Source organism: Homo sapiens, chromosome X, assembly GCF_000001405.40.
Source record: "Homo sapiens chromosome X, GRCh38.p14 Primary Assembly".
Taxonomy (NCBI): domain Eukaryota; kingdom Metazoa; phylum Chordata; class Mammalia; order Primates; family Hominidae; genus Homo; species Homo sapiens.
Genome location: NC_000023.11, coordinates 58523681 through 58537828, shown reverse-complemented (window position 1 = coordinate 58537828; position 14148 = coordinate 58523681). Strand labels below are relative to the sequence as shown.

Below are 14148 nucleotides of genomic sequence, written 5' to 3'. Positions count from 1 at the left end.
GATGGAGTTTAACTCACAGAGCTGAACATGCCCTTTGATGGAGCAGTTTCCAAATACACTTTTGGTAGAATCTTCAGGTGGATATTTGGACCTCTCTGAGGATCTCGTTGGAAACGGGAATAATTTCCCATAACTAAACACAAACACTCTGAGAAAGTTCTTCATGATGAATGCATTTAACTCACAGAGATGAACCTTCCTTTCAGAGTTCAGGTTTGAAACACTCTTTCTGTAGAATCTGCAAGTGGATATTTGGACCACTGGCTGGCCTTCGTTCGAAACGGGTATATGTTCACGTAAAAACTAAAGAGAAGCATTCTCAGAAACTTCTGAGTGATGATTGCATTCAAGTCACACGGTTGAACCCTCCTTTTGATGGAGCAGTTTTGAAACTGTCTTTTTGTAGAATCTGTAAGTGGATATGGTGGAGGACCTCTTTGAAGATTTCTTTCGAAACGGGAATATTTCCACAGAAAAACTAAACTGAAGCATTCTCAGAAACTGCTTTGTGATGTTTGTGTTCGAGCCATAGAGTTCAACTTTGCTTTTCATAGAGCAGTTTTGAAACATTCTTTTCACAGTGTCTGCAAGTGGACATTTGGAGCACTTTCAGGCCTGTGGTGGAAAAGGCCTGAAAGCCTTTTGTTTTATCTTCACATAAAGACGAGAGAGAAGCATTGTCAGAAACTTCTTTGTGATGACTGCATTCAACTCACAGAGTTGAAGGTTCGTTTTGAAACAGCAGTTTCGAAACACTCTTTCTGTGGGATCCACAAGGGTATATTTGGATCTCTGGGAAGATTTCGTTGGAAACGGGATAATCTTCACCTAAAAGGTAAACGGAAGCATTCTCAGAAACTTCTTTCGGATGTTTGCATTCACCTCACAGAGTTGAACTTTCCCTTTGATAGCGCAGTTTTGACACACTTTTTCTAGAATGTGCAAGTGGATATTTAGAGGGCTTTTACGACTGTGGTGGAAAAGGAAATATCTTCTCCTAAAAACTATATAGAAGCATTGTCAGAAACTACTCTGTGATGATTGCATTCAACTCCCAGAGTTGAACATTCCTTTTGATATAGCAGTTTGCAAACACTCCTTTGTAGAATCTGCAAGAGGAGATGTGGACTGCTTTGAGGCCTGTGGTAGTAAAGGAAAGAACTTCATATAAAAACTAGACAGTAGCCCTCTCAGAAAATTGTTTGCGACGATTGAGTTTAACTGAGAGAGCTGAACATTCATTTTGGTGGAGCAGGTTCCAAACACACTTTTTGTAGAATCTGCAAGGGGATATTTGGACCTCTCTGAAGATTTCGTTGGAAACGGGTTCAACTTCCCATAACTGAACCGAAGCATTCTCAGAAACTTCTTTGTGATGCTTGCATTCAACTCACAGAGTGGAACCTTCCTTTGATATTTCAGGTTTGCAACACCCTTGTAGTAGAATCTGCAAGTGTCTATTTTGACCACTTTGTAGCCTTCGTTTTAAACGTCTATATCTTCACATCAAACCTAGACAGAAGCATTCTCAGAAAGTTTTCTGCGATGACTGCATTCAACTCACAGAGTTGAACAATCCTTTTGATGGAGCAGTTTTGAAACCCTCTTTCTTTGGAATCTGTAAGGGGATATGTGGACCTCTTTGAAAATTTCATTGGAAACGGGATCATCTTCACATAAAAACTAAACAGAAGCATTCTCGGAAACGACTTTGTGATGTTTGTATTCAACTCCCAGAGTTGAACTTTCCTTTTGAAAGAACAGCTATGAAACACTCTTTTTCGAGAATCTGCAAGTGGACGTTTGGAGGGCTTTGAGGCCTGTGGTGGAAATTGAAATATCTTCACATAAATACGAGAGAGAACCATTGTCAGAAACTACTTTGTGATGATGGCATTCAACTCACAGAGTTGAACAATCCTATTGATAGAGCAGATTGGAAACACTCTTTTTGTAGAATCTGCAAATGGAGATTTGGACTGCTTTGAGGCCTACGGTAGTATAGGAAGGAACTTCATATAAAAAGCAAACGGAAGCATTCTCAGAATATTCTTTGTGATGATGGAGATTAACTGACAGAGCTGAACATGCCTTTAGATGGAGCAGTTTCCAAACACCCTTTTGGTAGAATCTGCAAGTGTATATTTTGACCTCTCTGAGGATTTTTTTGGAAAAGGGGTAAACTTCCCATAACTAAACTCAAACATTCTCAGAAACTTCTTCATGATGTTTGCATTTCACTCACAGATTTGAAACTTTCTTTGATAGTTCAGGTTTGAAACACTCTTTTTGTAGAATCTGCACGTGGATATTTGGACCACTGTGTTGCCTTCTTTCGATACGGTATATGTTTATTTAAAAACTAAAGAGAAGCATTCCCAGAAACTTTTGTGTAATGATTGCATTCAAGTCACTGAGTTGAACCCTCCTTTTGATTGAGCAGTTTTGAAACTCTCTTTCTTTGAATCTGCCAGTGGATATGTGGACCTGTTTAAATATTTCATTGGAAACGGGATCATCTTCTCATAAAAACTAAACAGAAGCATTCTCAGAGACTACTTTGTGATGTTTGTATTCAACTCCCAGAGTTGAACTTTCCTTTTGAAAGAGCAGCTATGAAACACTCTTTCTAGATTCTTCAAGTGGACATTTGGAGGGCTTTGAGGCCTGTGGTGGAAAAGGAAATATCTTCACATAAACACTATATAGAAGCATACTCAGAAAGTACTTTGTGATGATTGCATTCAAGTGACAGAAGTGAACATTCCTATTGATAGAGCAGATTGGAAACACTCTTATTGTAGAATCTGCAAATGGAGATTTGGACTGCTTTGAGGCCTACGGTAGTAAAGGAAATAACTTCATATAAAAACCAAACGGAAGCATGGTCAGAAAATTCTTTGTGATGATGGAGTTTTACTCCCAGAGCTGAACATGCCTTGTGATGGAGCAGTTTCCAAACACACTTTTGGTAGAATCTACAAGTGGATATTTGGACCTCTCTGAGGATTTCTTTGGAAACGGGATATACTTCACATAACTAAGAAACATTCTCAGAAACTTGTTCGTGATGTTTGTATTCAACTCACAGTGATGAACCTTCCTTTGATTGTTGAGGTATGAAACACTCTTTTTGTAGATTCTGTAAGTGTATATTTTGACAATTGGGTGGCCTTCGAACGAAACGGGTATATCTTCAAGTAAAAACCAAAGAGAAGCATTCTCAGAAACTTCTGTGTGATGATTGCATTCAAGTCAGAGAGTTGAACCTTCCTTTTGATTGAGCCGTTTTGAAACTCTCTTTTTGTATAATCTGTAAGTGGATATGTGGACCTCTTTGAAGATTTCTTTGGAAACGGAAATGTCTTCACAGAAAAACTAAACTGAAGCATTCTCAGAAACTCTTTTGTGATATTTGTATTTGAGCCACAGAGTTTAACATTGCTTTTCATAGAGCAGTTTTGAAACATTCTTTTCGTAGAATCTGCAAGTGGACATGTGGAGCGCTTTGTGCTCTGTGGTGGAAAAGGAAATATCATCACATAAAAACTAGAGTGAAGCATTGTCAGAAACTTCTTTGTGATGATTGCATTCAACTCACAGAGTTGAGGATTCCTTTGGAAACAGCAGTTTCAAAACACTCTTTCTGTGGGATCCGCAAGTGGATATTTGGACCTCTTTGAAGATTTCACTGGAAACGGGATCATCTTCACATAAAAGCTAAACAGAAGCATTCTCAGAAACTTCTTTGGGATGTTTGCATTCACCTCACAGACTTGAACTTTCCCTTTGATAGCGCAGCGTTGAAACACTCTTTTTCTAGAATCTGCAAGTGGACATTTGGAGGGCTTTGCGGACTGTGGTGTAAAAGGAATTATCTTCTCATAAAAACTACCTAGCAGCATTCTCAGAAACTACTCTGTGATGATTGCATTTAACTCACAGAATTGTACATTCTTTTTGATAGAGCAGTTTGGAAACACTCTTTTTGTAGAATCAGCAAGTGTGTATTTAGAGTGCTTTGAGTCCTATGGTAGAAAAGGAATTATCTTCACATAAAACTAGACAGAAGCATTCTTAGCAAATACTTTGTGATGTGTCCATTCAACTCACATAGTTGAACATTCCTCTTGATAGAGCTGTTTTGAGACACTCTTTTTGTAGATTCTGCCACTGGATATTTGGACCTCTTTGAGGCCTTCATTGGAAACGGGATTGCTTCCTATAAAACCAGGCAGAAGAATTCTCAGAAACTTCTCTGTGTTGTGTGCATTCAACTAACAGATTTGAACCTTCCTTTTGATAGAGCGGATTGGAAACAGTCTTTTTGTAGTATTTCCAAGTGGATATTTAGAGCGCTTTTAGTCCTACAGTACAAAAGGCAATATGTTCATATAAAAACTAGACAGAATCATTCCCAGAAACTACTTTGTGATGTGTGCGTTCAACTCACCGAGTTTAACCTTTCTTTTGATAGAGCAGTTTAGAAACCCTCTTTTTGTAGAATCTGCAACTGGACATTTGGAGCGCTTTGAGGCCTATGGTGAAAAAGGAAATATCTTCACATAACAACTACACAGAAGCATTCTCAGAAACCTCTTTGTGATGTGTGTCTTCAACTCACAGATTTGAACCTCTCTTTTGATAGAGCAGTTTTGAAACCTCCTTTTTGTAGAATCTGCAAGTGGACATTTGGAGAGCTTTGAGGCCTATGGTGAAAAAGGAAATATCATTACATATAAACTACATAGAAGTATTCTCAGAAACTTCTTTTTGTTGTTTGCTTTCAACTCACAGAGTTGAACATTCCTTTTCATAGAGCAGTTTTGAAACACTCTTTTTGTAGAATTTGTAAGTGGATATTTGGACCGCTTTGGGGCCTTCGTTGGAAATGGGATATCTTCAGAAAAACTGGACAGAAGCATTCTCACAAACTTCTTTGTGATTTGTGCATTCAACTCACAGACTTGAACATTTCTTTCGATAGAGCAGTTTTCAAAAACTCTTTTTGTAGGATCTGCAAGTGGACATTTGTAACGCTTTGAGGCCTGTTATGAAAAACGAAATATCTTCACATAAAAACTAGACAGAAGCATTCTCAGAAACTTCTTTGTGATGTGTGGATTCAACTCACAGAGTTGAAGCTTTCCTTTGATAGAGCACTTTTGAAACACTCTTTTTGTAGAACCTGCAAGTGGACATTTGGAGGGCTTTGAGGCCTATGGTGAAAGTGGAAATATCTTCACAATGAAACTACACAGAAGCATTCTCAGAAACTTCTTTCTGATGTTTGCTTTCAACTCAAGGAATTGAACATTCGTTTTCATAGTGCAGTTTTGAAACACTCTTTTGTAGAATTTGCAAGTGGATATTTGGAAGCCTTTGAGGTCTTCGTTGGTAATAGGATATCTTCACAAACACTGGACAGAACCATTCTCAGAAGCTTCTTTCTGATGTGTGCATTGAACTCACAGAATTCAACTATTCTTTCGATAGAGCACTTTCAAAAAAATCTTTTTGTTGAATCTGCAAGTGGCTCAAAACCCCCCAAATGCCCACTTGCAGATCCTACAAAAAGAGTATTACACAACAGCTCTATCAAAAGAAACGTTCATCTCTGTGAGTTGAATGCATACATCAGAAAGGAGATTCTGAGAATGCTTCTATCTAGTTTTCCTGAAGATTTCCCTTTTCCAGAGAAGACCTCAAAGCGGTCCAAATATCCTCTTGCAAGTTCTACATAAAGTGTGTTTCAAAACTGTTCTATGAATAGGAATGTTCAACTCAGTGAGTTCAAAGCAAACATCAGAAAAAGTTTCTGAGAATGCTTCTTTGTAGTTTCGTTGTGAAGATATTTCCTTTCTCACCATAGACCTCAAAGCGCTCCCAATGTCCACTTGCAGATTCTACAGAAAGAGTGTTTCAAAACTGCTGTATCAAAAGATGTCTTCGACTCTTTAATTTGAGTGCACACAACACAAAGATGTTTCTTAGAATGCTTCTGTATAGTTTCTATGCGAAGATATTTCCTTTTTCACCTTAGGCTTCAAAGAGCTACAAATATCCACTTGCAGATTGTACAAAAAGAGAGTTTCAAACTTCTCTATCAAAAGAAAGCTTCAACTCTGGGATTTGAGCGCACACATCACAAAGAAGTTCCTGAGAATGCTTCTGTCTAGGTTTTGTTAAGATATCCCTTTTCCAGTGAAGGCCTCAAAGCGGTCCAAATGTCCAATTTCAAATTAAAAATAGTGTTTCAAAATTGCTCTATGAAAAGGATGTTCAACTCTGTGAGTTGAGTGCAAACATCACAAGAAGTTTCTGAGAATGTTTCTCTCTGGTTTTTATGTGAAGATATTCCCGTTTCCAATGAAAGCCTCAGAGCTATCCAAATATCCACTTGCAGATTCTACAAAAAGAGTGTTTCAAAACTGCTGTAACAAAAGAAAAGTTCAACTCTGTGAGTTGAGTACACACATCACAACGAAGTTTCTGAGAATGCTTCTGTCTAGTTTTTGTGAAGATATCCCTTTTCCAACGAAGGCCTCAAAGCGTTCCAAATATCCCTTGCAAATTCTACAAAAAGAGTGTTTCAGAACTGCTCTATAAAAAGGAATGTTCAGCTCTGTGAGTTGAAAGCAACCAACACAAAGCAGTTTCTGAGAGTGCTTCTGTGTAGTTTTTTTGTGAAGATATTTCCTTTTTCATCATATGCCTCAAAGCACTCCAAATGTCCAGTTGCTGATTCCACAAAAGGAGGGTTTCCAGACTGCTCTATCAAAAGATGGGTTCATCTCTGTGAGTTGAATGTACACATCACAATGTTGTTTCTGAGAATGCTTCTGTGTAGTTTTTATGTGACGATATTTCCTTTTTCAGCATTGGCCCCAAAGCACTCCAAATATCCAGTTTCAGATTCTACAAAAAGAGGGTTTCAAAACTGCTCTGTCAAAATAGCGGTTCAATTATATGAGTTGAATGCATACATCACAAAGAAGTTCCTCAGAGTGCTTCTGTGTTGTTTTTATATGGAGATATTTCCTTTTTCACCGTAGGCCTCAAAGCACTCCAAGTGTCCACTTGCAGATTCTACGAAAAGAGTGTTTCAAAACTGCTCTATTAAAAGAACAGTTCAATTCTGTGAGTTGAATGCACACATCACAAAGAAGTCCCTGAGAATGCTTCTGTCTAGTTTTTGTGAAGATTTCCCTTTTTCAACGAAGGCCTCAAAGCAGTCCAGATATCCATTTGCAAATTTTAGAGAAAGAGTATTTCAAATCTGCTGTATGAGAAGGAAAGTTCAAATCTGTGAATTGAAAGCAAACACCACAAAGAAGTTTCTGAGGATGCTTCTGTGTAGTTTTAACTTGAAGATATTTCCTTTTTCACCACAGGACAAAAAGGGCTCAAAATGTCCACTTGCTGATTCTACAAAAACAGTGGTTCAAAACTGCTCTATCAAAAAAATGGTTCAACTCTGTGAGTTGAAGGCACACATCACAAAGAGGTTTCTTAGAATGCTTCTGGCTAGTTTTCATGTGAAGATATTGCCTTTTTCACCATAGGCCTCAAACTGCTACAAATGTCCACCTGCAGATTCTACAAAAAGAGTGTTTCAAAACTGCTCTTTCAAAAGAAAGGTTCAACTCTGTGAGTTGAATGCACACATCAGAAAGAAGTTTCTGAGAATGCTTCTGTCCAGTTTTTGTGAAGATGTCCCTTTTCCAACGAAGGCCTCAAAGCCTTCCAAATATCCACTTGCAAATTCTACAAAAAGAGTGTTTCAAATCTGCTCTATGAAAAGGAATGTTCAAATCTGTGAGTTGAAAGCAAACATCACAAAGAAGTTTCTGAGAATGCTTCTGTGTAACTTCGTTGTGAAGATATTTCCTATTTCACCATAGGCTGCAAAGAGCTCCAAATGTCCACTTGCAGGTTCTACAAAAGAGTGTTTCAAAACTGCTCTATGAAAAGAAAGTTTCAACTCTGTGAGTTCAATGCAGACATCACAAAGGAATTTCGGAGAATGCTTCTCTTTAGTTTCTGTGAAGATGTACCGTTTCCAACGAAGGCCTCAAAGTGGTCCAAACATCCACTTGCAAATTCTACAAAAAGAGCATTTCAAAACTGCTCTATGAAAAGGAATGTTCAACTCTGTGAGTTGAATGCAAACAACTCAAAGAAGTTTCTGAGAATACTGTGTAGTTTTTATGTGAAGATATTTCCTTTTACACCTTAGCCCTCAAAGCGCTCCAAATGTGCAGTTGCAGATTCTACAAAAGGAGGGTTTCAAAACTGCTCTATCAAAGGAGAGATTCAACTATATGAGTTGAATGCATACATCACAAAAAAATTCCTGAGAATGCTTCTGTCTTGTTTCTGTGAAGATATACCATTTCCAACGAAGGCCTCAAAGTGATCCAAATATCCACTTGCAAATTCTACAAAAAGTGTTTCAAAACTGCTCTATGAAAAGGAATGTTCAACTCTGAGAGTTGAAAGAAAACAACACAAAGTAGTTTCTGAGAGTGTTTCTGTGTAATTTTTCGTGAAGATGCTTGCTTTTTCATCATAGGCCTCAAAGCTCTCCAAATGTCCACTTTCAGATTCTACAAAAAGAGGGTTTCCAAACTGCTCTATCAAAAGAGAGGTTCAACTCTGTGAGTTGAACGCACGCATCAAAAAGATGTTTCTGAGAATGCTTCTGTGTAGTTTTTATGTGAAGATTTTTCCTTTTTCACCATGGGCCTCAAAGTGCTCCAAATGTCACTTTGCAGAATCTACAAAAAGAGTGTTTCAAAATTGCTTTATCAAAAGAAAAGTTCAACATTGTGGGTTGAATGCACACATCACAAAGAAGTTTCTGAGATTGCTCCTGTTTAGTTTTTGTGAAGATATCCCTTTTCCAATGAAGGCTTCAAATCGGTCCAAATATCCACTTGCAAATTCTACAAAAAGAGTGTTTCAAAACGGCACTATGAAAAGGAATGTTCAACGCTGTGAGTTGAAAGCAAACAACACAAAGAAGTTTCTAAGAATGCATCAGTGTAGTTTTATGTGAAGATAGTTCCTCTTTCACCTTTAGCCTCAAAGCTCTCCAAATATCCATTTACAGATTCTACAAAAAGAGGGTTTCCAAGGTGCTCTATCAAAAGAGAGGTTCAACTCTGTGTGTTGAATGCATACATCACAAAGTAGTTCCTGAGAATGCTTTGTGTGTTTTTATGTGAAAATATTTCCTTTTTCACCATAGGCCTCAAAGCGCTCCAAATGCCCACTTGCAGATTCTACAAAAAGAGTGTTTCAAAGCTGCTCTATCAAAAGAAAGGTTCAACTCTGTGAGTTGAATGTACACATCACAAAGAAGTTCCTGAGAATTTACCCGTCTAGTGTTTTGAAGATATCCCGTTTCCAATGAAGGCCTCAAAGCAGTCCAAAGATCCACTTACAAATTCTACAAAAAGAGTGTTTCAAAACTGCTCTATTAAAAGGAATGTTCAACTCTGTGAATGGAAAGCAAACATCACAAAGGAGTTTCTGAGAATGCTTCTGTGTAGTTTCTTTGTGAAGATATTTCCTTTTTCACCGCAGGCCTCAAAGCGCTCCCAATGTCCACTTGCAGATTCTGCATAAAGAGTTTTTCAAAACTGCTCTATCAAAAGAAATGTTCAACCCTATGAGTTGAATCCACACATCACAAAGTGGATTCTGAGATGCTTCTGTGTAGTTTCTGTGACGATATCCCGTTTCCAAGGAAGGCCTCAAAGTGGTCCAAATATCCACTTGCAAATTCTGCAATAAGAGTATTACAAAACTGCTCTAAGAAAAGGAATGTTCAACTCTGTGAGTTGAAAGCAAACAACAGAAAGAAGTTTCTGAGAATGCTTCTGTGTAGTTTTTATGTGTAGATATTTCCTTTTTCACCATAGGCCTCAAAGCGCTCCAAATATTCATTTGCAGATCCTCCAAAAACAGGGTTTCAAAACTGCTCTATCAAAAGAGAGGTTCAAATCTGTGAGTTGAATGCCCCCATAACAAAGAAGTTTCTGAGAATGCTTCTGTGTAGTTTTGATGTGAAGATATTTCCTTTTTCACCATAGGCCTCAAAGCGCTCCTAATGTCCAGTGTCAGGTTCTACAAAAAGAGTGTTTCAAAACTGCTCAATCAAAAGAAATATTCAACTCTGTGAGTTGAATGCAGACATGAAAAAGAAGTTTCTGAGAATGCTTCTGTATAGCTTCTGTGAAGATATCCCTTTTCCAACGAAGGCCTCAAAACAGTCCAAATATCCACTTGCAAATTCTACAAGAAGAGTGTTTCTAAACTGATCTGTCAAAAGAAAGATTCAACTCTGTGAGTTGAATGCACACATCACAAAGAGGTTTCGGAAAATGCTGCTGTCTAGTTTTTATGTGGAGATATTTCCTTTTTCATCATAGGCCTCAAAGCGCTACAGAAGTCCAATTACAGATTCTACAAAAAGTGTTTTTCATAACTGCTCTTTCGAAAGAAAGGTTCAACTCTGTGAGTTCAATGCACACATCACAAAGAACTTGCTGAGAATGTTTCTATCCAGTTTTTGTGAAGACATCTCTTTTCTAACGAAGGCCTCAAAGTGGTCCAAATATCCACTTGCGAATTCTACAAAAAGAGTATTTCAAAATTGCTCTGTGAAAAGTAAACTTCAACTCTGTGGGTTGAAAGTAAACATCACAAAGAAGTTTCTGTGAATGCTTCTGTCTAGTTTATGTGAAGATATACCTTTTCCAATGAAGGCCTCAGAGCGGTCAAAACATCCAATTGCAAATTCTACAAAAAAAGTGTTTCAAAACTGCTCTATGAAAAGGAATGTTCAACTCTGAGTTGAAAGCAAACAACACAAAGTAGTTTCAGAGAATGCTTCTGTGTAGTTTTTATGTGAAGATATTGTCTTTTTCACCATAGGCCTCAAAGTGCTCCAAATGTCCAGTTGCAGATTCTTCAAAAAGAGAGTTTCAGAACTGCTCTATCAAAAGAGAGGTTCACCTCTGTGAGTTGAATGCACACATCACAAAGAAGTTTATGAGAATGCTTTTGTGTAGTTTTTATGTGAAGATATTTCCTCTTGCACGGTAGGCCTCAAAGCGCTTCAAATATCCAGTTGCAGATTCTACAAAAAGAGGCTTTCAAAACTGCTCTTTCAAAAGAGAGCTTCAACTCTGTGAGTTGAATGCACACTTCACAAAGAAGTTCCTGAGAATGCTTCTGTGTTGTTTATATATGAAGATATTTCTTTTCACCGTAGTCCTCAAAGTGCTCCAAATGCTCACTTGCAGATTCTACAAAAAGAGTGCTTCAAAACACCTCTATCAAAAGAATGATTCAAATCTGTGAGTTGATTGCACACATCACAAAGAAGTTTCTGAGACTGTTTCTGCGTAGTTTTTAGGTGAAGATATTTCCTTTTTCACCACTGGCCTCAAAGGAGTCCAAATTTCCACTAGCAGATTCTACAAAAAGTGTGTTACAAAACTGCACTATTAAAAGAAAGGTTCCACTCTGTGAGTTGAAGGCACTCATCACAAAGAGGTTTCTGAGAAAGCTCCTGTCTAGTTTTTATGTGAAGGTATTTCCTTTTTCACCATAGGCCTCAAAGTGCTACAAATGTCCACTTGCAGATTCTACAAAAAGAGTGTTTCAAAACTGCTCCATCAAAAGAAATGTTCAACTCTGTGAGTTGAATGCACACATCAGAGAGAAGTTTCTGAGAATGCTTCTGTAGAGTTTTTGTGAAGACATCCCATTTCCAACGAAGGCCTCAGAGCGGTCAAAATATCCAATTACAAATTCTACAAAAAGAGTGTTTCAAAACTGCTCTATGAAAAGGAATGTTCAACTCTGTGATTTGAAAGCAAACATTGCAGTGAAGTTTCTGAGAATGCTTCTGTGTAGTTTCGTTGTGAAGATATTTCCTTTTTCACCACAGACCTCAAAGCTCTCCAAATGTGCACTTGGAGATTCAACAAAAAGAGTGTTTCAAAACTGCTCTATCAAAAGAAATATTCATTCCCGTGAGTTGAATGCAGACATCACAAAGAAGTTTCTGAGAATGCTTCTGTCTAGTTTTTATGTGAAGATATTTCCTTTTTCACCATAGGCCTCAAAACACTCCAAATATCCATTTACAGATTCTACAAAAAGAGGGTTTCAAAACTGCTCTATCAAAAGAGAGGTTCAACCCTGTGAGTTGAATGCAGACATCATAAAGAAGTTTCTGAGACTGCTTCTGTGCAGTTTTTATGTGAAGACATTTCCTTTTCAGCATAGGCCTCAAACTGCTCCTAATGTCCAGTGGCATGTTCCACAAAAGGAGTGTTTCAAAACTGTTCTATCAAAAGACATATTCATCCCTGTGAGTTGAATGCAGACATCACAAAGAAGTTTCTGAGAATGCTTCTGTCTAGTTTCTGTGAAGTTATCCTGTTTCTAACGAAGGCCTCAAATCCATCCAAATATCCACTTGCAGATTCTACAAAAAGAGTGTTTCAAAACTGCTCTATCAAAAGACAGTTTCAGCTCAGTGAGTTGAGTGCACATATCACAAAGAAGTTTCTGAGAATGCTTCTGTCTAGTTTTTATGTGAAGATATATCCTTTTTCCCAATAGGCCCCAAAGCGCTCCAAATGTCCACTTGCAGGATCCACAAAAAGAGTGTTTAAAAACTGCTTTATCAAAAGAAAGGTTCAACTCTGTGAGTTGAATGCACACATCACAAGGAAGTTTCTGAGAACGCTTCTGTCTATTTTTTGTGAAGATATCCCTTTTCCAATGAAGGCCTCAAAGCGGTCCAAATATCCACTTGCAAAATTACAAAAAGATTATTTCAAAACTGCTCTATGAAAAGGAATGTTCAACTCTGTGAGTGGAAAGCAAACAACAAAAAGAAGTTTCTGAGAATGCTTCTGTGTCGTTTTTATGTGAAGATATTTCCTTTTTCACCATAAGCCTCAAAGCGCTCCAAATGTCCAGTTGCAGATTGGACAAAAAGAGGGTTTCCAAGGTGCTCTATCAAAAGAGAGGTTCAACTCTGTGAGTTGAATGCACACATAACAAAGAAGTTTCTGAGAATGCTTTTGTGTAGTTTTCATGTGAAGATATTTCCTTTTCCACCGTAGGCCTCAAAGCGCTCCAAACTTCCAGATGCAGATTGTACAAAAAGAGGGTTTCAAAACTGCTCTATCAAAAGAGAGGTTCAACTCTGTGAGTTGAGTGCACACATCACAAAGAAGTTCCAGAGAATGTTTCTGTGTTTTTTATATATGAAGATATTTCCTTTTTCACCGTAGGCCTCAAAGTGCTCCAAATGCCCAATTGCAGATTCTACAAAAAGTGTGTTTCAAAACAGCTCTATCAAAAGAACCGTTGAACTCGGTGAGTTGAATGCACACACCACAAAGAAGTTTCTGAGAATGATTCTGTGTAGTTTTTAAGACAAGATAGTTCCTTTTTCACCATATACCTCAAAGAGCTCCAAATGTCCACTTGTAGACTCTACGAATACAGTGTTTCAAACTGCTCCATGAAAAAGAATGCTGAACTCTATGAGTTGAAAGCAAACATCACAATGAAGTTCCTGAGAATGCTTCTGTGTAGTTTTTATTTGAAGATATTTCCTTTTTTACCATAGGCCTCAAAGCACTCCAAATGTCAACTTGCAGATTCTACAAAAAGTGTGTTTCAAAACTGCTCTATCAAAAGAAATGTTCATCTCTGTGAGTTGAATGCACACATCACAAAGAAGTTTCTGATAATGCTTCTCTCTAGTTTTTATGTGAAGATATTTCCTTTTTCACCATAGGCCTCAAAGTGCTGTAAATGTCACCTTGCAGATTCTACAAAAAGAATGTTTCAAAACTGTTTCAACAAAAGAAACGTTCAACTCTTAGAGCTGAATGCACACATCACAAAGAAGTTTCTGAGAATGCTTCTGTCTAGTTTTTATGTGAAGATATACCGTTTCCTACGAAGGCCTCAAGGCGGTCCAAATATCCCCTTGCAAATTCTACAAAAAGAATGTTTCAAATATGCTCTATGTAAAGGAATGTTCAACTCTGTTAGTTGAAAACAAACATCAAAAAGACGTTTCTGAGAATGCTTCTGTGTAGTTTT

The 14148-nt window shown here is 37.8% G+C and overlaps 5 annotated features.

Moving 5' to 3' along the window:
* Nucleotides 1332–1999: an enhancer, noted in NCBI's record as "OCT4-NANOG-H3K27ac hESC enhancer chrX:58562263-58562930 (GRCh37/hg19 assembly coordinates)". NCBI's record gives its function as "activates a minimal SCP1, AML or CMV promoter by ChIP-STARR-seq in naive and primed H9 embryonic stem cells {active_cell/tissue: H9 hESC(naive and primed)}" and the evidence as "EXISTENCE:reporter gene assay evidence [ECO:0000049][PMID:30033119]".
* Nucleotides 2000–2665: an enhancer, noted in NCBI's record as "OCT4-NANOG-H3K27ac-H3K4me1 hESC enhancer chrX:58561597-58562262 (GRCh37/hg19 assembly coordinates)". NCBI's record gives its function as "activates a minimal SCP1, AML or CMV promoter by ChIP-STARR-seq in naive and primed H9 embryonic stem cells {active_cell/tissue: H9 hESC(naive and primed)}" and the evidence as "EXISTENCE:reporter gene assay evidence [ECO:0000049][PMID:30033119]".
* Nucleotides 2666–3333: an enhancer, noted in NCBI's record as "OCT4-NANOG-H3K27ac-H3K4me1 hESC enhancer chrX:58560929-58561596 (GRCh37/hg19 assembly coordinates)". NCBI's record gives its function as "activates a minimal SCP1, AML or CMV promoter by ChIP-STARR-seq in naive and primed H9 embryonic stem cells {active_cell/tissue: H9 hESC(naive and primed)}" and the evidence as "EXISTENCE:reporter gene assay evidence [ECO:0000049][PMID:30033119]".
* Nucleotides 7934–8435: an enhancer, noted in NCBI's record as "OCT4 hESC enhancer chrX:58555827-58556328 (GRCh37/hg19 assembly coordinates)". NCBI's record gives its function as "activates a minimal SCP1, AML or CMV promoter by ChIP-STARR-seq in naive H9 embryonic stem cells {active_cell/tissue: H9 hESC(naive)}" and the evidence as "EXISTENCE:reporter gene assay evidence [ECO:0000049][PMID:30033119]".
* Nucleotides 11434–12334: an enhancer, noted in NCBI's record as "OCT4-NANOG hESC enhancer chrX:58551928-58552828 (GRCh37/hg19 assembly coordinates)". NCBI's record gives its function as "activates a minimal SCP1, AML or CMV promoter by ChIP-STARR-seq in primed H9 embryonic stem cells {active_cell/tissue: H9 hESC(primed)}" and the evidence as "EXISTENCE:reporter gene assay evidence [ECO:0000049][PMID:30033119]".